This window comes from Homo sapiens, chromosome 4 (genome assembly GCF_000001405.40).
Source record: "Homo sapiens chromosome 4, GRCh38.p14 Primary Assembly".
Lineage (NCBI taxonomy): Eukaryota > Metazoa > Chordata > Mammalia > Primates > Hominidae > Homo > Homo sapiens.
This window is the reverse complement of record NC_000004.12, coordinates 138,369,996-138,395,829: the sequence shown is the minus strand read 5'-3', so window position 1 is coordinate 138,395,829 and position 25,834 is coordinate 138,369,996. Positions and strand designations below refer to the sequence as shown.

At 36.1% G+C, this 25,834-nt stretch overlaps 1 long non-coding RNA gene across 1 annotated transcript in view, besides 1 other annotated feature; it reads right to left on the bottom strand.

Moving 5' to 3' along the window:
* The window catches only part of LINC00499 (long intergenic non-protein coding RNA 499), a 114,634-nt gene that overhangs the window by 28,515 nt on the left and 60,285 nt on the right, over positions 1 to 25,834 (bottom strand). The window lies entirely within an intron of this gene.
* Positions 3,081 to 3,160: an enhancer, noted in NCBI's record as "active region_21912". NCBI's record gives its function as "activates an Ori minimal core promoter by ATAC-STARR-seq in GM12878 lymphoblastoid cells {active_cell/tissue: GM12878}" and the evidence as "EXISTENCE:reporter gene assay evidence [ECO:0000049][PMID:35858748]".

Sequence of the window (25,834 nt, the reverse complement as noted above, 5' to 3'; positions counted from 1 at the left end):
AATCACATGCATACTTCTCCATAGCTTATTTTCTTGTCTCTCCCCCACTAAACTGCAAGCTTCTTGGGTGCAGAGACTGATTGGTTCATCTTTGTCTTCCCAGTGCCTATCACACACAGAACCTGGCATACGGTAGGTATTGGATAAAGGTATTTGGAATGGAGTAATGAATTATGAGAAGATCTAATAGCTAAGATCAATTTTTAATCCACCAATATTGAATTATAACAGTTAAGTCTTATAGTCACAAACAAAATCCATGAGTGTGTTTTCTTTTTCAGAAACTGTTCATTTTCCATGCTGCTATCTTACACCACTTTATATACATCATAATTATGAAGATACACCCCCAAGGGTTTTGTTCTGAAATTATTCAACCCCCAACTCCAAATGCCCTAGCAGTATGTAAGTATTGGCACCAATGTTTCCTTCCTAATGTTATTATTTTGATTGATATATCCAGTAAATATAGAGATGAGTGTGAATATGTGTATGCACCTTGGGAATGGAAGTTTGTAGTTGGAGCTTAGCAGCAGAACGCTGGGGATGAGGAGCTGAAAATCTGATATATATTTTGTGGCCCTGGCTGCAAATAAATCCTGAGGCCTACACTAATAAAGTGGCTCATTTGAAGTCAGTGATTTTGAGATGAGGGGCACAGTAGCAACCAGTGATTGACTCGGCAGGCAGCAGATCAGGTCTTAAATCAAAGGGCAGCTTTCATCCTTGTTTCCGATGGACACAGGCACCTGCCATTCATCAGCTGCTTTATTCCCACCTTGCACATGATTGACACCTATTTACTGTCCAGTTTAGTATCTTTTCATGTGTGTCAATCCTATCCTCCTAAATGGGTTGTAAGCCCCTCTGGAGCAGTGTGACAACAGGGATACACTTCTTTGCAAATTTGTAAGTCTGTTGCACAGTGCCTTGTATATACTTGATGCTCACAGAAGGTTTTTGTGATTGATTCTTTGTAACACTAACAGCAAACATAACTTTCAACATGTAAAAAATGAAAATAGTTACAAATCTGTGTCTTTAATCTCTTAAAGGTAATGGAAACCTTTAACTGTTTGATCCTCTCATTGTCTCTCCTTTACTTCCCCTTTTATGACAAAACAAAGCAGATTTTTTTCTGCTAATTTACTTAAGTAAAGGGTTATTGTAGCTGAAGATGAAATAGTTGGAATCCTGGAATGTTTTAGTGACTCCCAGGTTCAGATCGGTAAATAATGTGGCATTGCTGAGTTCTGGGAGAAAACAAATGTTTTAGCTTCAAAAACTATCTGTTAAACAGAGACAGGTGTATCATGTTTACAAGGAATGTGACATTATAAACTCAGTCAAAACAGCCCATCCATATGTGCAGTGATCTGTATCCATGATCTCAGAGAACCCTGTCACAGGTTTTATGGGTAATTTTTGTTTGGGAGCATTTAGACACCTTGGCAGCCAACTGGAATGTGGCCAGTATCAGTAACAACACACAGTTGAAGAACCATTATCTAATCAACTCCCATCAAACCAGTCAGTGGTAAAACAGTGCTTCTCTGAAACACTTTTTACAGATAACATTTTGGTTGTTAAATTTATGAAGTGTAAAATTATATAACTTCTTTTTTGAAAAAGTAAAGGCTGTATTTTCATACACACATCCACCCACAAACACAGTTCAGCAGTGGAAGTACTAATAAAGTCATTGACAAAAATAAATTACATAAATTGTATTTAGCAATTTTCAACATTCACTGAGAAAGTCCACGCAGGGGGCATGGCCTTGCCAATTATGAAAAATGTTATCCTGAATAATCAGCAGAGTGTGTTGACAAAAATGTCAGCATGAGCAGAGGCAGTGTACTTCATCTACTGGCCTGTAAGATACACCTTTTTGAACCCAAGGTTTTGCTAATTTAACCTGTTTTCATCTTACAGGCACATTGTATATTCTTACTATAAATTTGGTAAAGGTAGTCCTTGTCTTAAAAGAAACTGTTTCTATTCTACTTCATGGTGTATATCATGGGAAAATGTTACTGCATCAATCACTTTGTTGGGAGATTGGTTGCTGTCTTTCTTCTGTGCTTCAGACATTAGGTGCCTCCCCCCAAAGAATAAAGAAATGCCCACAATTTACTTGAATCCCCTACTAGAAGAGCATTGGGATCACCTAGATTATAGATCTCTGTTTCTACCAGGATAAAATTGAATTTCCTGGGTCCTTTCTGTTCTCAGACTGGATTCAAGGTATGGGGAACCCTAGCCCTCCAGTACACACACACCTGAGCTTGCACAGATGGGCATGTTGGCCATTAGCTGCTCCACTAACCTGCAATTACTTGGGCTACTTTGAATATACACCCAGGAGAAATTACAGAAGTGAAGGTGTGATGGCATATTGGACACTTCTTATTGGAGAGTGCCATTATTTTAGTTTCCAAATGTCAATTTTTGGTTTAATAAATTTCAGAATCAAAAAGATTTTTGAGATACATGATTTTAATTGCTCTTTTAGTCATTCTTCTGAAAGTACTTGCTCAATGGTCACAAGCTGCCACCTAACACACGTCCAAAACCACTTCCTAAACGGGAAGACCCCTTTTCTCACTTTGAAGCAGTTGGCCCTGACTGCTGACCTGTTCTATCTGTCCCATGCCTCCCATGGGCATCTCTGCTTTTTCTCTCTTTCCTTTGCTAGCTTCTTTTTTTTCCTTTATTTCTTTAAATGCAGGAGCTTCCTAAATTGTGTCTTTACTCTTTTCTTTCTTGGTGTTCACTGGTAATCTCATCCTCTCACATGGCTCCAATTATGGTTTGTGTGAAATAGCTCTCAAGTTTATATCCTCCCTCCTGAATTACTGGAGCACACTCCCACGGTGCTTGTGTGTTTTGTATGTATCATACTTCACTCAACATTTTGAAGTTCCTTAAAATTGTCTTCTCACTCTCGTTTCCTCCTTCTTGTTAACTGCAGCATCACTATTATGGTCAGATGGAATCCAAATTTCAAACTTTGTCTTGACTCTCCTTTTGCCTCAAGATCTAAAGATTCATCAGATTATGTCATTTCCTTCTTACTGATGTGTCTTAGATCCTCTTAGATCCCCTCCTTTCTCATTGTCAACCCTCAGTTCATGTTTTTATTGTCTTCTTCTCAGGAAGTTAATACAACGTTTTAACAGGAATCTAAGTCTCTTTTTGGACTTCAATTCATCTCATAAAATACTTTCAGACTTATTTTTGTGAAAATGATTTTTTTCACTATCACTTCACTGTTTTAACAGTCATCTGTTTCACTCACTAAATATTTATTGAGTAGAACTACATATGACTAAGGAATCCCTTTGTTGGATATGTACCTAAAGAAAATGAAATCAATAGCTCATAGAGATATCTGTGCTGCCATGTTTACAGCAGTATTATTCACAATAGCCAAGGTATGGAAACAACCTGTGTCTGTTGCTGAATAATGGATAAAAATTGGATAAAAATGCTGTGATATACACACAGAGAAGAGTATTTTTCAGCCTTAGAAAAGGACATACTGACAACAATGATGAACCTGGAGAACATTATGCTGAGTGAAGTAAGCCAGACACAGAAAGACAAATATAGCATGATCTCACTTATATGTGGAATCTTAAAAAGAAAAAAATCAAATACATAGAAACAGTAGAATAGTGTTTACCAGGAGTAGGGAAGGAAAGAAAATAGGGAGATGTAGTTCAAAGGATAAAAACTTGTTGTTATGTAGGTTGAATAAGTTTAGAGTGCTAATGTGCTGCAGGAGGACTATAGTTAATAATATTGCATTAAAAATTTGTTAATAGAATATATTTTGCATGCTCTTGACACACACACACACACACACACACACAGACATGAATTAACTATGGAAGGTGATGTAAAATTTGCTTACTTGTAATCATTTCACTATGTATATGAAAACATCATGTTATTTACCTGAAATATATACAATAAAAATATGTATTGAGTTTGTACTATGTGCTTGGGACTTGTATAAATTCTGGTGTGCAAATGTCAAACATGATCTTATCTTCAAGGAATTCCTAAACAGGTAACCAATAACTGTAATACACAGTGATTTGTATAATGATAGAAGTATTTTCCTACCTCTAAGTAGCTGCTTAGCATTCCTTTCCTCTTTATACGATACAATTTCTTGCCATTTTAAAGACCTAGATAAAATACTATCTACATTATGGTGTTTTTCCTTGTCTCTCTGATCATATTTCCTTCATTTGAAGTACTATATAATTTATTCTCTGAGTCATTTATTTGGAAATTAATCACCTGCTAGTTTGTCATTTCTTCTGATGTCAATTTTAACTGTAATTTAATGTTTAATATTTTGTCTTGTATTCTCATTTAGGTTGTCCATGTTCCAAGATTAGTGATTAGGTCTTAAGCTTCTTTATAGTCTCCCCTAACATTTATACTACATTGCTATTAGGTATTCAAATGAAAACACGTTTCAGATGATAAGAAATATTAAGTACATTTTACTGGGTAAGTTAATATCTTCTTTTCTACCCTGATTTAACTCCAATACTGACATAAAATGGTTTGAAGTATTTTTATACACAAATTTTTAAACAATCAAGTTTATTTTTAAGTGGGCATTTTCAACCTTCTATCCCATTCAGACTTGTCCTTGCAATTTTTAAGTCCCATCTCTTCTAACAGTTCCCACAAGAATTATTGTTAAAAATGAAATTCAGTGTAGTCTCCTGAGAGATGAAATATGTCCTTCAAAATAATTTCACCACAATACATTTTCTGACTCAGGAGATTTTGATTTTTGTCAACTTGGTCTCAAGGCAAACCTTGAATATTATATAAAGAAATGAAATGCAATGCTAATGGTACAGAGACTGCAAATTCCATTAGATAATATTCTCTATTTATGTGGAATAATGAACTAATTCAAGATTTTAATATACTAAATTATTAAAAATTAAATTACGACAGTGATTGCATCATTTCTGATTGCTGCTATAATAACCACAGACTTAGTGGCTTCAAAGAGCAGAAATTTATGTGTATTTACAGCTTCACAGATCAGAAGTTCAACGTGAGTCTCTCAGAGCTAAAATCAAAGCATCTGAAGGCTACTTTCTTCCTGCAGAACCTAGAGGAGATTTTATTTTCTTGCCTTTTCCAGCTTTTAGAGACCACTGGCATCCCTGGCCCCTTCCTCCAGCTTCAAAACCAGCAACGGTGGGGGCCAAGTGAATCCTCCAGTCCCAGTCCAGTTTTTGGATGACTCAGTCCTGGCTGACATCTAGATTGACGTTGGCATTGTGACTCAGGACTCTGAGTTACAGTGTGGGATACTTTGTTACACAGCAATAGATAACTAATCATCATCTGATCCACCACTAAGTCTGTGGTTATTTGTTATAACAGCAACAGGAAACTGTAATCACTGCAATAACTTAATTTTTTAAATACTTTAGTATATTAAAATCTTGAATTAGTTCATTATTCCACATAAACAGAATATTATCCAAAGGAATTTGCCATCCCTATATCATCATCATTGCATTTTATTTCTTTACATTAACACTCATTGTTTGCCTTGAGACCAAACTGACAAAAATCAAAATCCCCTGAGTTGGAAAATGTATTGTGGTGAAATTATTTTGAAGGACATATTTCATCTCTCAGGAGACTACACTGAATTTCACTTTTGACATGTGTTCTGAGTGTCACTAATTCAATTAGATGCACTTTTAAACAGTAATTCCTTGTTCTAATAACATTAAGGAACACTATATACTCTATGCCTACTCTTGGATAATTAAAATATACATTAGTAGGAAATAAACTTTCACAATATTTAACTCAATGTGAAGTACATTAATTTGACTGTGGGTCACCCCCTGCTACTACCTCCCTTGCCACCTATTTTCAAGTAGAATCTACTAACACCCTTTAGGGTACCTTTTGCAAAATTTTGGCTTACTCTAATTTTCCTATACTTTTTAAAATAAGAAATTGAATGGTAGAGAAGTTGTAGCTTTCTCAAAGTCTTTTGATTTAGGCAGCAAAAATGAGTTTAGAGCATAACAAAACTAGAACTCAGGCCTCCTGGTTCCTGTGTCCTTCACCTCTGCTGATCAAAGTTTGCTTTAGGGGAATACATGAGCAGATGCTTAATAGCATCAAGAAGCAAGGCCTGAGATATCATCTCACGCCAATCAGAATAGCGATTATTAAAAAGCCATGAACAACAAATGCTGGCGAGGTTGTGGAGGAATAGAAACACTTTTACACTGTTGGTGGAATGTAAATTATTTACACTGTTGGTGAAATGTAAATTATTTCAACCATTGTGCAAGACAGTGTGATGATTCCTCAAAGATTTAGAACTGGAGATACCATTTGGCCCAGCAATCCCATTACTGGGTATATACCCAAAGGAATATAAATCATTCTGTTACAAAGATACATGCATGCATATGTTCACTGGAGCAATATTCACAATAGCGATGATATGGAATTAACCCAAATGCCCATCAATGATAGACTGTATAAGGAAAATGTGGCACATATACACCATGGAATACTATGCAGCCATAAAACAAGTTCATGTCCTTTGCAAGGACATGGATGAAGCTGGAAGCCATTATCCTCAGCAAATTAATGCAGGAACAGAAAACCAAAGAGCGCATGTTCTCACTTATAAGTGGGAACAGAACAATGAGAACACATGGACACAGGGAGGGGAACAACACACACTGGGGCCTATTGGGGGAGGATGGGGGTGGGGATAGCATTAGGAAAAAGAGCTAATGCATACTTGGCTTAATACCTAGGTGATGGGTTGATAGGTGCAGCAAACCACCGTGGTACACATTTACTTATGTAATAAACCTGCACATCCTGCACATGTACCCCGGGACTCAAAAAATAAAATAAGAAGCAATGCCTGTTTCCCGTTGACTCACTTCTCCTGCCCTCTCATTATACCAAGACCTCAAACTCAGCCATCAGAGTGTTTGTAATGGAAGCTTCAGTACAAGTAAAAATGTCATTAGGAGGAAAAACACTTTATTCTGTTAACAATTGCTTGCAATTTAGGATGAATTAAGTATTTACGGTTTTGATAGCCGGGTGTGGTGGCCCACGCCTGTAATCCCAGCACTTTAGGAGGCTGAGGTGGGTGGATCATTTGAGGTCAGGAGTTTGAGGCCAGCCTGGCCAATATGGTGAAACCCCGTCTCTACTAAAAATAAATAAATAATTAATTAATTAGCCAGGTGGTAGTGGTGCGTGCCTGTAATCCCAGCTACTCAGGAGGCTGAGGCAGGAGAATTGCTTGAGCCTGGGAGGAGGAGGTTGCGGTGAGCTGAGATCGGGCCACTGTGCTCCAGTCTGGGCAACAGAGTCTCAAAAAAAAGAAAACGAAAAGTTATGGGAAAATATGTAATAACTGAGGATCCTAGGTCACTGAAGAGGAGTATAGTGCTTCCCTGGACTCTGTTTTTTTAGAGGTCCTACTTTTACTTTCTCTGGCCACACCATCCCTGTGGGGTGAGACTTGTGCAGGGGCCAATAGAACTTTTCCACCTAGAGCCCACATTTCCCCTTTAGACCATATTTCAGCTACCAGAGAGCCCAGAGTTGCCCTGCGAAAGGGCCTTGCCCCTGTTCCTCATATGCGGGCAAATATCTTCTCTGGGACCACTTTTCGAAGGCAGACCATGCCACGGCATCCATGCAGTGGACCCAAAGGGTGGCCAAGGGATGATGGCTGTTTTTGTGGGGTGTACACAAATTCCCAGGCCCCTCATAGTATAAGCTGAAGCCGAAGTTCCAAAAAGAAGGTGAATGTCTTGAAAGCGGGGAACTGGTTTTCCTAGAGCCTCAATATTTAGGCACAAAGCACTGAGTCTGCATATTCTGAATTAGAACCCGCCCTGTCAAGTTGTTATGAAACTGTATTTATCAAGGTAAGTGGATACAGCATATTTTATTTAGTAGTTTTTAGCTGGATTTATACCTTTCAACTATTTAGACATGTGGTATGTGGGCTTCCGTTTGTGTACTTGTCCCTGCTGTGCGGTTTTCCCGGTGGGCTGGCAAAGGGTATGTTTTGTGTGTATACGTATGCACACATTTGTTGAAGAGGCACACAGTGATAACAGGAGTGGAGGGGGTGGGGATGTAAGACAAATCAATTTTCCAGCATTGCTCCTGGACCTGTCATTCCTTGTCGTCAAAATAAAATCGATTCTTAGGTACATGAGATAAATTTTAGACATTACATGTGGTAAGTATTTATTAGGTAATTTCTAGAACAATTTAAAAATATTTGCTGCCTCTACATGGTACGTTCATCAGCAGTTAAATTCCTTGATTGAAATTCTCAGTTCAGCTAGATTCCGAGGAACCCAAATGTTGACATATTTCAGTTATTGACAATCTCCTTTGTCCGAATTCTTTTAGCCCAGTGTTCATAAAGGGTGATTACAGTATCAGCAGTACCAGCCACCTGGGAACTTGTTGGAAAACAAAATCTGGAAAGCCAGTCCCCTATCCCTAAGCCTAACCTAAAACCCCTAAGGTGGGCAGATTCAGAAGTCCAATTAAGCAGCTCTCCATGTGATTCTGAAGCTTGGCTGCAGGTAAGAGTTGGGAACCAGCACCTTGGCCTATACTGACTTCTTGATAAAGTTGATTAGAGGCAAATATGGCTGAAAGTTTTCTTTGTTCCTGGCTATATTGGTTCAACAGACCCAAATACACACCATTGGGAAAAACAGCATAATTTTATAATTGAAATACAGAGAGCTTTCACTTTAAGTATTTTTTTTTTTTAGAAGGAATGAATGCACTATTGTATTTTAGATATTGCAGCAATTGCTAGATTTTGTCTGCTTGGCGCTTTTGCTAATGCTTGCTCTCTTTTGGATCTCCTTATTTTTGTATTTACCAGTGGTTTCAAGTTGCGGTTTTGGATATTGTTGTTTTCCAGGTTCAAAACCTGAGACGTGCTTCATTAAGTTTTGAAATGCTATACAACAGAATCAATAAGTTAAGTTGAAACTGAACTTCAGAGTTGGAGAGTAGAAAAAGAAGAATACCACTATTTCTCCACATGTAATTTAACCTCCATAAGGAAAACAAATCTGTTGCTTGTTTTTTTTTTTTTACAGTTTCCTTAAATTCTCTGATCACAGTATTAGTGAGCAAACCCACTCTGATATTCACTGTAATTGAATAATAATAAAAAAAGCAGTGTTTTTATCTAGCAGCATAAAAAGAAGATGCAAAATAAATTGTACTGATTTCTGAACTTCCAGTGAGGGTTAATATTTATTTACTAATTGACATTTAATATAATTTTACTTTGTATTTACTTAGAAATAAAGTGAATTGATGTAAAACAGAGAGGAAAGCAAGAGAGGATTGAATATAGAAGTGCTCCAGGATCAAAGCTGATGTATCATGGGACAACTTTTATAACTTAGTCATTGGTCATCTTTCTGTCTTTATTAATCCACTGTTTCAATATGAACACTGTAGCCAGTGAGACTGCTTCAAATGAATGTGAAATAAAGCTGAACCTCATCTGCTGAAACTTGTGCAGCCTTCTTGTAGGCCTAGTCCTTGCTAACCTGTGAAACCACCTCTATTGTTAGCCATCGTTTTTTGTATGTTTGGTTTTTTTAAAGGACTCACGTATTTGATAGGTAGAATTAGAATATGATTTGCACCTATTGACTTCTTATTTATAATTATTCTTCCTCATTTCTGGGGTCTATGTTTTGTCCCTACAAATTTACATTAAGCTTTTTAAGATCCAGGGTCTTTATTTCATTTGCATTTCTACCAGTACCTAATAGTTTTCTACTCTTAGTGAAAACTAAATAAATTATATGAAAATAATTAACATTGTAGCTCACTTGAGTAAAGTCAAATTGATAGTGCACCAATGTTACAAAGGGATATAGAACATTTATGGTGAAAAGAGAACATCTCACCTAATTCCAAAGCTTTGTCTTTGCACCTTCATTTTTCCTATTTTATATAAAGGGTTTCTATAATATATATTAGAATTCTTATTATTACCATTATTTTTAAGTGACAAATAATTGTATATATTTATGGGGTACAATGTGATTTTTGATATATGTATACAATATGGTTGATTAAATCAAGATAATTAAAATACCCATCATTTCATTCACCCATCGTTTTTATGGGGAGACATTTGAAATTTTTTCTTAGTTATTTTAAAACTCAAACATTTATATTAAAAATACAGGCTGCCTATGTTTCCATTCAGAGGAAGTAAGTAGCAAGTAAATTCTTCTTGCATTTTTTACAGAAAAGAAAGAGAAACATAAAGTTGCAGGATGAGAAAATTCTAAGAAAGAAAATATGATGGTTGAGGGAATATATATATCAAAAATTTTCTTGATTTTATACTTACAAAATAACTTTCAAGTTTCAATTTTTATTTACTTGAAGGTTTTTATGCACATTTGAATATTGATGTGTTTCTTCTCAAAATGAATATTTGAAATTAAAAAATAAGAAAGGTTGATTTCTATATCTTTTGCAATCTGCAGTAATTCAAATGAGTCCATACCTTGATTCTACTCATTTTGAGAAGAGTGAATTTCTCAATATTATATATTATATGCCTGCACTATGGCATTTTATTTTATATTATTAAAATATGCATTTTAGGAAATGACCATTAAAAGAAAAGACAAGTAAATACAGCTTCATTAGATGATATCTTGGGCTTTAGATTTGCAGTTGTTTAAAGCCCATATAAATGAGAATATGATAAAATGGTTAAAACTGAGCAAAATGAATGGACAACATTCTATTCATATAACAACACAATGCACTGAAAAAGGCATGTCTTTCATTTCAGTCCAACTATTTTTCAAGCTTGCCATGAATAGGTATTATTTGTGTACCATGTGCAGAATGTCTTTCTAGGAGCTATTGGTACAAACATGAATTTTAAAAAATTAATTTTCCTTCCCCAAAGTGGCTTATAGTAGAGAGAATTAAAAATATAGAGATAAATAAATATAATGTTATCTATGACCATTTTTCACGAACAGTTTGATACTATAAACAACTAACTGTCACTGGGGTGCACTCAGCAAAATTTTTTAATTTTAATACTTGAATATGAAATCTAATTAATGTGTCACAAACAATGGTAATAGAAACTGGTAAGATGAAAAAGTGTTAGTCACACTTATACTGAGATGCAGGTTTAATGAATCTGCTCTTGCTAGATACAAAATAATTAGCTAACCTACATTGGGAAGGTCAGGTATTTTGTAATGTCTAATAAATATAGAGGATATATCTATAATTATAAAATAATACTGTGATTTTGCACCTACAAGGTTAATTTTGTATTACAAAAGTAAATTGAGACCTGGTATGTCTCAACCTTGTATGATTTAATATGCAATCACTGAATCGTATTTTTAGCTTGGTCTTCAGCTCATCCTCAGGAGATTGTAAAGATGGATGTTGGAGGCATGTTGATGTAATATCTAGACAGGTGAAGGTAGACTCTTGTGTGTAAGGACCATGAATGTGTTATAAAAGCAAAGTGAAGGTACTGCAATTCGTAGATCACAACACCATTTGTGAAACTCCAGACACCCACATTTAATCCTCACCTATCCTTCTGGGGTAAGATTGTAGTGTGCAGTTTTATTGTGTTTTACAGGTGGGATAAATAACTAGCTTCACGTTGTTTTTGGAGTAGGGAATAAAACAGAGCTCTTTTTACTTCTTACCCTGTAATTTAGCTACTGCTTTCCCTTAACGGGTCATTATATTCTCTTTCACAAGTGTCTCAAATTATTTTTTATTTTGAAATCCTGTCTTCTCAATTAGATTTGGGGCTGGGCCGCTTCTTCCATGTCATATAACATTGATCATACAGTAAATGTTTATAGTTCTTGATATATGTTTTTAAAGTTTTTAAAATTTTGTGTTTTATAAGAATTGCTGATACTGAATGGAAAAATTAAACATCACAGGAGTGTTGAATCACAGGTATCCTCTGACTGCTGGCACATTGAGTACTGACTTTGGCTTTGAGGGGCCTGTGCCTTCCTAACACAGTTTTTCACTTGCAACAACAAAGCTGCTGTTTTCTGACTTTTACAAATGAAAAGTGCTGTAGAATAAGCAAAAATGGGTTTTAACTCCTCTGAGAAACTTATTATGTAAATATGCATTATTATGATCATAAATAATAATAATCTATTTTCTGAAGCATAATGCCAGCGCAAAAGTCATTTGGGGAGGCAAACATTTGTTAGTTGTATGGAGGTTTCATCAAATCAAGTCTCCATTCCGTGATAATAGATACTCAAATGGATTTTTCTATTTCATGAATGCACTTCAAAGTTTAGAAGCAAATGCATTGTTAGAAAGATCAGATAATAAAAACAATAATTTTTCAAAAATCTTTATGGCCTGCCAAATTTGTTGCATGAAAAAGGCAGAAAATCACAATCCTTTGGAAAATTGAATTTGATTCTTTTTAATTTATTTGTTCATTCAAGTTACAAGTCCAATCACAGGTTTCTCAGACTTGCTGATCTTGGGCTTTTATTAGACTTAAGATGTTTTAATTTTGAATGTAGTTTTTATAGTTTTTACTTTTAGGGAAAAGAAAGTTGCCTGCCCTTTTTTTTGTAAGAGACTATTATAAAATTCAACTATAAGATTAAAATAGCATCAGTGGTTCTCATAGTTGGGAGATATTTGTGATGCCTTATTCATCTCTGTTAATAAAGAGTTTCTAAGTTATGTTAATGAGCTGCATCTGAAGGAACTAGGGGATTCTTGAAAAGCTGGAACTAAAGGGGGAACACAATGACTATAATATAGTTGGAAATTATAACATGGAAGAGGACATAGTCTTGTTCAGTTTTGAGCCAGAAAGTAGAAATGAAAAATTTAGGTGTAAGTTATGGGAGAGTGCATTTTAATTCAACTTAAGGAAGGGGTTCCTAGTAATGTTCCTAAATACAGAAAGTTTCATACTTCTGTGAGGAATATTATAGAAAGGATTCCTGAATCCTGCTGAGGACTTGAACCCATAGGTCCTATGAATCTCTCAACTCTAACATTTTGGCAGTTCCATTAGAATCTGTCTTTACTGCAAAATCTGAAATACAAAACTCAAGTAGTTCTCAAATAGATGCCCGCCTCCTAATTTTCCAAGTTCATTGATTAAAATACCACTCTTCCTAATTCCAAATATCAAAACGTTCATCTTTTTCATAATTATTTCTCCTAAAATCTCTCATAACTCACCAATCACCTAAGCCTACAGGTTCTTATTTCTCAGTGTCACTCTTAATTATTATGTTATTTGTTCTCATCTGTCCAATCAAGGCCCTCATCAATTTAGACCTGTATTACCACAACTTCTTAACGTGTCTTTCTAATATTTGCATATATAGTCCCTAATCTGTAATTTCCTTTTGTATACTTTTATGTCACTCTCATTAAGAATATAACACTTCGCCCTTTTAATGAGTTCAGATTTTCTCAATCCAGTATTTAAAATCTTTCTTAATGTGGCCCCACCTTATCAATATTTTCTCTTACTGCTTCCAAACATCAGCCAGTTTGTTCTCTTTGACTCCCCATAACCAAACACTCAAGCTATAGGTAAAAGTATAGGTAAAATCTTACACTCTTTTGTGTCCCTCCAAGAATATTTCTTAGACTTAACTTATCCCACAATGACCTTTCTTTTATTTTGAAATTAACTTAAAACCCACCATGTGATTTATGTCAAAAGAATATCCACTTTTAAAAATAGCTGTCCACTAGTTTTGTTTACATGTGTATGTCAAAGTTACAAATATCACTTTCCTATTTTAAAATCCGTGAGTCTGTATTTCATGTTATAATTTTCCATAGAATCTAAAGCAGTATATACCATGAACATATATTAAACACACATCAAATTCCTATCAAATGAGGAAATAAAAAAATTATAAGTAGTATATGTTAAATGGAGAAATGGACCAAAGTGGCTTCCCAGGGAAGGACCTCTAAGATACCTGGGGGTAGATGTGCTTATACTGATTCTCTTAGAGTTGGAAATAGTTGTGAGTGCCAATAGAGTCAGCCCTGATTTAACACATGTCTTTTCTCTTGGTCCATTTTGATGAGCAGTATGCCATGGGCTATTAGCCCCCAAAACATTTTGCGTTAAATAAGATAGCTCACTGCACACAATTCTCATTTTGCAGTTAGAGCTTTAGGCTTTATTACATCTGAAATACCATGGAGCACATAATCTTGACTTTGATTTTTTACAATGTACTCAGGATGAACAGAGATTTTAGTGAATTTGATTCATATCATCAGTTCATTTATTAGAAGATATAATGACAGAACCAAAAACCTGTCACCCAAGGTAGCACTAATGAACTACTTTTGTGAGCTCCCTAAGCAATAAGGGTAATATTTGAATTGAAATGGACACTGGTTCTTTATTTCTAGATGTGCAAAAATTGCACTTGTAGGTGTGAGATTCTGTCCTTGCCTGTGATTGATATGTTTTTTGAAGAAAGAATGCCATTCTGCTGAAATTCCCAGAATTTTTATTTTAGTCTTATCCTCATCTCAATCTTAATTTCCTATACTTATTGGACATTTTAGGTGTTCTCTTTCCTTTAAAGTAATGAGAGAAAGATAAATAACAAATATAAATATGATTTATCTATAGAACTTTTAATTTTTAATGTCTTAGCCTTAAAAGAATCTATCACAGAAATAGTAGTCCCAGGAATGTCTGTCTACACAACATTAAATAATTAGCAGTTCACCAACATAATACCACCACCAACAACATCACAAATCATATAATTGAGAGTCTGCAGTAGAAGCAGACATCAGTAATTATAGCAAAGGTTATTTAATTATAGATGAAATAAGTGCTATGAACAAAATGAGTATATAACGCAGACCTGATCAGTCTGGGAGGGACAGGGGAGTTAGGGGAGGTGCAGGGCTAGGGAAGCTTCTCTGAAGAAGTGACATTCAAAGAGACAGGAAGTGTGAGTAGAAGAAAGGAGTGGGTTAGACGAAGATCGGGGATTGAGTGGGGATGGGGCTTTCAAGCCAAGGAAACAACTTATTTAGTGGCAAGAAGTTACTTAGCTCTTCAGAGTAATGAAGGAGTAATCGTGTGCCTTGAACATAATGCGAAAAGAAAGGAGGATATGTGACGTTGGATGAAAAAGTGAATAGAGGCCATATCACGAAAAGTGTTGTTAGTAAATATGAGGAGTTTGAATTTTATTCTAAGAGAGTGGGAAGCCCTACTCTAATGATATGATCCATTTTAAAGATTACTCTGATTTTTGAAAGGAAAAAGACTGGAAGCAAGAGATCAGCTAGGAAGTTTTAGCAATACTTCCAGAGAGAGAGATGAAGGTACTTGGGTCAGGAGAGAAGGGGATGGATTTGAGATGGATCAGGGAGGTAGAACATGGCGATTGCTGTAAAGTAGAGGATAAGAGAGAAGAGCTGTCCTTCAGGATTTATGGTAGAAACAACTTTGATGAATGGTACTGTCATTTACTGAATGGGAAATGGCAGAAAAGAAACAGGTTTTTGAGTTTACTTTAGGCCAGGTTGGGTCCTGAGTTGCCTGAAGTGGGGCTGGGAGGAATGCAGTTGGATAGTCAATGGATAGCTGAGACAGCAGCACTGAACAGGACACAGAACTTAAGCCACTTTTGTTCCTAATTTTCTCCAACTGAGAGCAGTTTCAACATACCTTTGCACACCAAACCAAACAGACAAAAAATAAAAAGTACCCCCACACAAATTCAGTTTCAGAAATATTGATGAATAATATGCATTTCTTAGCAAGGTTTTGTGAGACAAGAAAGGATGTTCATGGCATAGCAAAGCTTCTCATTTAGTTCCCTTGAAATATTTTAGCTCTTTCCCAAGGGCTCTTTCTCAACAGCAGTTGCTTCATCTCTTACCCTCTTTTTCTACAATCCTTAACTTCACCCTTACCACTGCCTCACCCCCATCTTCCACAATAAATCTTTATTTCTGTAAGTTTAGCTTTCCCTTATTTCCTGTCATCAATAGAGCACCACTCACTATCTCATCAAAACAAAGATCCAGTTCAGAAGCTACCTGCCAAAGAATGGTGAAGGTTGAAAGGAGAGGGAAGACTGTAAAGAGTAAACAAATGCTTTCCTGCAAAATAAACATGTTAATAACATATTCAGGGTAATGTAAGCTATGAGTGGAATCTCAACATTGAAAAATTTACTACAGGAGAGAGATATTAAAGGAGCTATTGTCTAGCAACTTGAAAGGAGGAGGATATCCAAAAAACTAGAGGTTCCCTAAACAAAGAAAAAAGAGGTTTACGAAGAATGTAATGATCAATTTATCAAATCTGTCGAGAGGTAATTTGCATATTTAAAAATACAAATGAGGCTGAGCATGGTGGCTCACGCCTATGATCCCAGCACTTTAGGAGGCTGAGGTGGGTGGATCACCTGAGGTCAGGAGTTCAAGACCAGCCAGGACAACGTGGTACAACCCTATCTCTACTAACAATACAAAAATTAGCCGGGTATGGTGGTGGGTGCCTGTAATCCCACCTACTCAGGAGGCTAAGACAGGAGAATCACTTGGACCCCAGAGGCAGAGGTTGCAGTGAGCTGAGATGGTGCCATTGCACTCCAGCCTGGGTGACAGAGCAACACTCTATCTCAAAACAACAACAACAACAACAACAAAAGCTACAAATGATTACATTTTACTTTTTAATAAATCTGCTATATATACTTTCAGAAAATAGAAAAATTGACAGGCCCGAATTTGTGCCCCAAATTTTGCTATGAATTTCTTTTGTCTAAACATGGCAACATTATTAAATTTTTAAAATTTAATTAAATGTAATTAAATTAAATGTTAATTAAATTTAAAAATGTTTGTGGGTACATAGTAGGTGTGTATATTTATGGGTTGCATGAGTTTTTTGTGTGTACATCATAGGTGTATGTATTTATGGGGTACATGAGCTATTTTGGTACAGTCATACAGTATGTAATGATCACGCTAGGGTAAATGGGATAGCCATCATCCAAGCATTTATCCTTTCTTTGTGTTATAAACAATCCAATTATATCTTTTAGTTATTTTAAAATGTACAATAATATATTGTTGACTAGTCATGCTGTTGTGCTGTCAAACATGAGATCTTATTCATTCTATATAGCTATATTTTTGTACCTATTAACCATCCCTTCTGTCCCCCCACCCAACAGCTCTTCCTAGCCTCTGGTAGTCATCATTCTACTCTCTATCTCCATGAGTTCAAGTGTTTAAATTTTAGCTTCCACAAGTAAGTGGGAACATGCAAAGTTTATCTTCTGGTGTGTGGCTTATTTCACTTAACATAATGTCCTCCAAGTCCATCTATGTTGTTACAAATTACGGTATCTCATTTGTTTTTTATGGCTGACTCCATTGTGTATATATATCACATTTTCTTCATTCATTTATCTGTTGATCCATTCAACTTAAGTTGCTTCCAAATCTTGGCTATTGTGAATGGTGCTGCAGTAAACGTGGGAGTGCAGATATCTCTTCAACATACTGATTTCCTTTCTTTTGGGTATATACCTAAGAGTGGGATTGCTAGATCATATGGTAGTAGTGCCATTTTTAGTTTTTTGAGGACCCTCCAAACTGTTTTTTCCTAGTGGTTGTACTAATTTACATTCCCATCAACAGTGTACAAGGGTTCCTTTTTATTTTTAACATCCTTGTCAGCATTTGTTATTGCCTGTCTTTAGGATAAAAACCATTTTAAATGGGGTGAGATGTTATATTATTGCAGTTTTGATTTCCATTTCTCTGATGATCAGTGATGTTGAGCACCTTTTTATATACCTGCTTGCCATTTGTATGTCTTCTTTTGAGAAATGTCTATTCATATCTTTTGCCTATTTTTAAATCAGATTATTAGATTTTTTCCTATAGAGTTGTTTGAGCTCCTTATATATTCTAGTTATTAATCCCCTGTCAGATGGATAGTTTGCAAATATCTTCTCCCATTCTGTGGGTTGTTTCTTCACTTTGCTGATAGTTTTCTTTGCTATGCTGCAGCTTTTAAACTTGATGTGATTGCATTTGTCCATTTTTGCTTTAGTTGCCTGTGCTTGTAGACTATTACTCAAGAAATCTTTGCCCAGACCAATGTCCTGGAGAGCTTCCCCAAAGTTTTCTTTTGGTACTTTCATAGTTTGAGGCCTTAGATTTAAGTCTTTAATCCATTTTGATTTGATTTTTGTATATGGTGAGAGATAGGGATCTAGTTTCTTTCTTCTGCATATGGATATCTAGTTTTTCCAGCACCATTTATTGAAAAGACTGTCTTTTCCCAATGTATACTCTTGGCAACTTTGTCAAAAGTGAGTTCACTCATTTGTATAGATATTTTTCTGGGTTTCCTGTTCTGTTCCACTGGTCTATGTGTCTGTTTTTTAATACCAGTACCATGCTGTTTTGGTTACTGTAGTTTTGTAGTATAATTTGAAGTCAAGTAATGTGATTCCTCTACTTTTGTTCTTTTTGTTCAAGATAGTGTTGACTATTCTTGGTCTTTTGTGTACTCATGTAAATGTTAAAGTTGTTTTTTCTATTCTTGTGAATAATGCCATTGGTATTTTAATAGAGATTGCATTGAATCTATAGATTGTTTCAGGTAGTGTGGACATTTTAACAATATTGATTCTTCCAATCCATGAACATGAAATAGCTTTCCTTTTTTCGTGTGTCCTCTTCAATTTATTTCATCAGTGTTTTATAATTTTTATTGTAGAGATCTTTCACCTTGGTTGTTAATTTCTAGGTGTTTTATTTTATTTGTAGCTATTGTAAATGGGATTACTTTCTTGATTTCTTTTTCAGGCTGTTTGCTATTGGCATATAGAAATTCTACTAATTTTTGTACACTGATTTTGTATCCTGCAGCTTTACTGAATTTGTTTATCAGTTCTAATAGTTTTTTAGTGAAGTCTTTAGGTTTTTCCAAGCATAAGATCATATTATTTGCCAACAAGGATAATTTGACCTCTTCCATTCTAATTTGGATGCTCTTTATTTCTTTTTTTGTCTGACTGCTCTAGCTGGAATTCCAGTACTATGTTGAATGACACTGGTGAAAGTGGGCATCCTTGTCACGTTCCGGATCTTAGAGGAAAGACTTTAGTTTTTCCTCATTTGGTATGATACTAGCTGTGGGTCTGTCATATATTTCTTTTCTTGTGTTGAGGTATGTTCCTTCTATATCCAGTTTATCCAGGTTTTTTTCCTCATGGAGGAATGTTAACTTTCATCAAAGGCGTTTTCATAATCAGTTAAAATGATCATATGATTTTGTCCTTCATTTTGTTGATATGGTGAATCACATTGATTGATTTGAGTATGTTGAACCATCCTTGCATCCTTGGGATAAATCCCACTTGGTCATGATGAATAATCTTTTTAATCTGTTGTTGAATTCTGTTTGCTAATATTTTTTGTTGAGGATTTTTGCATCAATGTTCATCAGTGACATTGGCCTCTAGTTTCCTTTTTTTGATGTGTCTTTGTCTGGTTTTGGTATCAGGGTAACACTGGCTTCATAGGACGAGGTTGAAGTACATCCTCCTCCTCTATTTTTTGGAGTAGTTTGAATAGGATTGGTATTAATTCTTCTTTAAATGTTTGGTAAAATTCAGCAGTAAAGCCATCTGGTCCTGGGTGTTTCTTTGCCATGAGAATTTTTATTACAACTTTGATCTTGTTACTTGTTTTTGGTCTCTTTAGGTTTTGAATTTCTTTATGGTTCAATCTGGGTAGGCTCTATGTGTCTAGGAATTAATCCATTTTTCTTCTAGATTTTCCAATTTATTGGCATATAATTGCTCAGTGTAGCCTCCAGTGATCCTTTGAATTTCTGTGGTATCAGTTGTAATATCTTCTTTTTCATCTCTGATTTTATTTATTTGGATCTTCTCTCTTTTTTTCTTAGTCTGTCTATAGGTTTGTCAATTTTGTTTATCTTTTCAAAAAATAACTTTTTATTTTGTTGATCTTTTGTATTGTTTTCTTCATTTCAACTCTTTCTGCTCTGATCTTATTTCTTTTCTTCTACTAATTTTGGGTTTGAGTTGCTCTTGCTTTTCTAGTTCTTTAAAATTCATCAAGTAGTTTATTTGAAGTTTTTCTACTTTTTTAAAAGTAGGTGCTTGATATGGTTTGGCTGTGTTCTTACCCAAATCTCATCTTGAATTGTAGCTCCTGTGATTCCCACGTGTTGTGGGAGGGACCCAGTGGGAGATAACTGAATCATGGGTGCAGTTTCACCCATACTGTTCTCACAATAGTGAATAAGTCTTACAAGATCTGATGGTTTCATAAGGCATTTTCCTTTTCACTTGGCTCTCATTCTTTCTTGTCTGCTGCCATATGATATGTACCTTCCACCATGACTGTGAGGCCTCCCCAGCCATGTGAACTGTGAGTCCATTAAACCTCTTTTCCTTTATAAATTACCCACTCTTTGGTGTGTCTTTATCAGCAGCATGAAAATGCACTAATATGGTAAATTGGTATCAGGAGTGGGATGCTGCTGAAAAGATACCCAAAAATGTGGAAGCGACTTTGGAACTGGGTAACAGGCAGAGTTTGGAGCAGTTTGGAGGACTTAGAAGAAGACAGGGAAATGTGGGAAAATCTGGAACTCCCTAGAGATTTGTTGAATAGCTTTGACCAAAATGCTGATAATGATAGGGATAATGAAATCCAGCCTGAGGTTGTCTCAGATGAAGATGAGGTACTTTTTGGGAACTGGAGCAAAGGTGATTCTTATTATATTTTAGCAAAGAGACTGGCAGCATTTTGCCCCTGCCCTAGAGATTTGTGGAACTTTGAACTTGAAAGAGATGATTTAGGGTATCTAGTGGAAGAAATTTTCAAAGCAGCAAAGCATTCAAGAGGTGACTTGGATGCTATTAAAGGCATTCAGTTTTAAAAGGGAAACAGAGCATAAAAGTTCAGAAAATTTGCAGCCTGACATTGCAATAGAAAAGAAAAACCCATTTTCTGAGGACAAATTCAAGCTAGCTGCAGAAATTTGCATAAGTAACGAGAAGCCAAATGTTAATCACCAAGACAATGGAGAAAATGTCTCCAGGACACTTCAGAGACCTTTGCAGCAGCCTCTCTCATCACACAGTGATGAGAGGCCTAGGAGAAAAGAATGGTTTTGTGGGCTGGTCCAAGGGTCCCTCTGCTGTGTGCAGTCTAGGGACTTGGTGCCCTGTGGCCCAGCTGCTCCAGCCATGACTAAAAGGGTCGAAGGTACAGCTTGGGCCACGGCTTCAGAGGGTGCAAGCCACAAGCCTTGGTAGCTTTCATGTGGTGTTGAACCTGTGGGGACACAGGAGTCAAGAATTGAGATTTGGGAACCTCCACCTAGATTTCAGAGGATGTATGAAAACACCTGGTCCAGGCAGAAATTTGCTGCAGGGGTGGGCCCCTCATGGAGCATCTCTACTAGAGCAGTGTGGAAGGGAAATGAGGGGTCAGAGCCCCCCCACAGAGTCCCCACTGGGCACTGCCTAGCAGGGCTGTGAGAAGAGGGCCACTGTACTCCAGACCCTAGGATGGTAGATCCACTGACAGCTTGCTCTGTGCACCTGGAGAAGCTGCAGACACTCAATGCCAGCCCATGAAAGCAGCTGGGAGCCAGGTCATACCCCACAAAGCCACAGGGGTAGATCTGCCTAAGACCATGGGAACCCACCTCTTGCATCACCATGGCCTGGATATGAGACATTCAGTCAAAGGAGGTTATTTTGGAGCTTTAAGATTTGACTGCCCCACTAGATTTCAGACTTGCATGTGGCCTGTGGCCCCTTCGTTTTGCTCAATTTCTCCCATTTGGAAGGGCTGTGTTTATCCAATGCCTGTACCCCCATTTTATCTAGGAAGTAACTAGCTTGCTTTTGATTTTACTGGCTCAGAGGTGGAAGGGACTTGCCTTGTCTTATATGAGACTTTGGACTGTGGACTTTTGAGTTAATGCTGAAATGAGTTTAGCCTTTGGAAGGCTTTTGGGAAGGCATGATTGGTTATGAAATGTGAGGGCATGAGATTTGGGAGGCGCCAGGGATAGGGTGATAGGATTTGGCTGTGTTCCCAGCCAAATCTCATCTTAAATTGTAGCTCCAATGATTCCCATGTGTTGTGGGAGGGACCCAGTGGAAGACAGTTGAATCATGGATGCAGTTTCCCTCATATTGTTCTTGTGGTAGTGAATAAGTCTCATGAAATCTGATGGTTTTATACGTCATTTCCCTTTTCACTTGACTCTCATTCTCTCTCTCCTGCTATCATGTAAAATGTGTCTTCCACCATGATTGTGAGGCCTCCCCAGCCACATGGAACTGATGTGGCTCTTAACCTCTTTTCCTTTATATTATTAAACCTCTTTTCCTTTATAAATTACGCAGTCTCAGTTATGTCTTTATCAGCAGTGTGAAAACAGAGTAATACAGTGCTTACGGGTGTAAACTTCCCTCTGAGTACTGCTTTTGGTGTATCCAATAGATTTTGGTATGTTGTGTTTCCATTATCATTTGTTTCAAAAAATTTTTCAATTTCCTTCTTTTTTCTTCATTGACCCACTGGTCATTAAGGAGCATATTGTTTAATTTCCATGTGTTTGTATAGTTTCCAAAATTCCTCTTGTTATTGATTTCTAGTTTTATTCCACTGTGGTCAGAGAAAATACTTCATATAATTTCTATTTTTTGAAAGTTTCAGGAGTTGTTTTGTGACCTAACATATGGTCTATCCTTGAGAATGATCCACATACTGAGGAGAAGAATGTCTATTCTGTAGCCATTGCATGATATCTGTTAGGCCCATTTGGTCTGTGGTGCAGATTAAGTCTGACGTTTCTTGTTGATTTTTTGTCTGGATGATCTGTCCAAGGCTATAAGTGGAGTGTTGAGGTCTCTAGCTATTATTTTATTGGGGTCTCTCTCTCTTTTTAGCTCTAATAATATTTGCTTTATATATTAGCAAATATATAAAGCAAACTTTATATATATATCTCCAGTGTTGGCTGCATATGTATTTACAAGTGTTATATCCCCTGGCTGAACTGACCCCTTTATCATTATGTAGTGACCCTCTTTATCTCTTTTTACAGTTTTTGTCTTGAAGTCTATTTTGTCTAAGTATAGCTACTCCTGCTCTTATTTGGTTTCCATTTGCATGGACAATTTTTTTTTATCCCTTTATTAGTCTATGTGTGTCTTTATGGAGTGAAGTATTTGTTATAGGTGACTGATACTGGGTGTTTTTTTGTTAATCCATTCAGCCACTCCATATCTTTTGATTGGAGAACTTAGTCCATTTACATTCGATGTTATTATTGATAAGTAAGGACTTACTCCTGCCATTTTGTTATTTATTTTCTGGTTGTTTTGTGGTCTTATCTTTTTTTTTTCCCTTCCTTCTTGTCTTCCTTTTCATGAAGGTAATTTTCACTGGTGACATGTTTTAATTTCTTGCTTCTTAGGTTTTGTGTATCTGTGCATGTTTTCTGATTTAAGGTTACCATGAGGACTGCAGATAATATCTTATACTCCCATTAATTTAAACTGATGGCAATTCAACACTGATTGCACAAACAAACAAACAAGCAAAGAAAACTAATGAAGACTCTACATTTTAACTTCATCCTCCCACTTTTTAATGTTTTGTTGTTTGTATTTATATCTTATTGTACTGTCTACGAATGTCTTGAAAGTTGTAGTAATTTTTTCTGATTGGTTCATCTTTTAGTCTGTCTACTTAAGATATAAGAAATTTATATACCACAATTACAGTACTATAGTATTCTGGGTTTTGTTGTGTACTTACTATACCAGGGAGTTTTGTACCCTCAGATGATGTTTTTATTGCTCATTAACATTGTTTTCTTTCAGATTGAAATATTTCCTTTAGCATTGTTTGTAGGACAGGTCTGGTGTTGATGAAATCTCTCAACTTTTGTTTATCTGGGAAAGCATTTTTCCTTCATGCAACATTATTTTTACTTTTAAATTTTTTTCTCTGCATAGAAGGGGTTGGCCATATGAATAATTTTAGTTCTGCATTTCCTAGTAATTCTGAGATAAAGGGACATAGTTGAACTTTAAATGTTTTAAATTAAAAAGTGGTCCAATAACAAGACTAAATTACTAAATAGAAAGCTATGTTGGTCTTCTGTGAATGGCAAGAGTCCAGGTCTTGGTAGGGAATGTGTGATTCTAAAAAGAGGTAATGATTTTGAGCAGAAAGGCAAAGGAAGTTTGATACAACTCTTTCAAATGATTTCAGGTTCTGGAAAAGGAAAAATGGGCAATTAGTTATGCTTTGTGTTAAAGTTAGTATTCACCATGCTGTTTTGTTTTGCTTTTATAAAGTTTCCTTGAATCACCAACCTGGCTTTCCAAACTTTTTTTTTTTTTAACTTTCTGCCCTCAGTTATCCAAGAGGAAAACATTGATGGATAAAGTATATTCTTTATCTTGGTATCTCTTCAAGAACACAGAAAATTATCTCTTACCTTCCTTATTCCACTTCCAAATCTTATCATTGAAATTTATGGCAGTTGTGAAGAGGAAAAAGGAAAAGCCAAATGGGCCATAATGATGACTTGGGGCAGACTTGGGAATGTGGATGTGCCCCTGGGAGTTTTATCAGGCACCACAATTTTGACTAAGTTGGATCTAGCTCCAATAGAAAACTAGAAACAATAAAATATGACCCCCACATATCTTTAAAGAGATGCAAACAATCTTTGCTCCAAACGGTAATTCAATCTCAGGCAGGTAGCATTTGCTTTGCTACATCTTATGAGCTTGGTAGGGTGATTAGGCATTTTAATTCCTTTTCTGCTGGACGTTTAAATTCATTGCCTGTTCACTAACATTTCCTTTTAGCTTACTGCTGGCCTGCTTGGGGTTCAAGATCAGAATTGTAATTTGAGGATTATGAGAATAAGGCTGATCAATGTTACTTTTCAGATGCTTTTCTGGTTATCTTTCTTGAGCTTTTCTCAGACAGGGCCAAGGAAGGGAGTGAGATATTTTGCTGGTTAGGTGAAACAAAGAAAGGAGGGAAAGTGAGATGAATGGAAGAATACATCTAGATGTAGTCTGTCCCTTTCACTGCTACTGTTTTCCCTTTCAAAGAAAGATTGTGTAAATCAAGCTTCCTTTTGCCAATAAAATTATGATACTTTGCCACATGCTGCGCATCATGCTTTATCATGATAAAGAAACAGGTAGTTTTAAATGAAAGCATTTGATGATTTTTCAGGCCTTTGGCAGTTGATCAGCCCCATTGTGAAAGGACAGTAATATCGCTGCTATGCTGAGGCTGCTTAAAGAATATGAAATGTGGATCATGGCTCTGAGGTAGTTGACTGTAAATCAGATTTGATTTCCCCTCTGAGAGCACAAAATGAACCTTGTCGTTATCAGGAAGAGAAATGAAATCTTAAATATTTCTGGATGTTTTGTCATCTCTGCCTGTTGGCGTGATTTAACATAAAATTTCCCCAAAGTAGGAAGTGCAGGTATTATTTCATTTCATTTCAAAGATAAACTTCAGAGTTTTTCCCTATAAATTACTTGAAAAGCCCCCAATTTGCAATTGTGGAGGTACCTTAAGATCAATTGCATTTTAAAATAAAATAGTATTA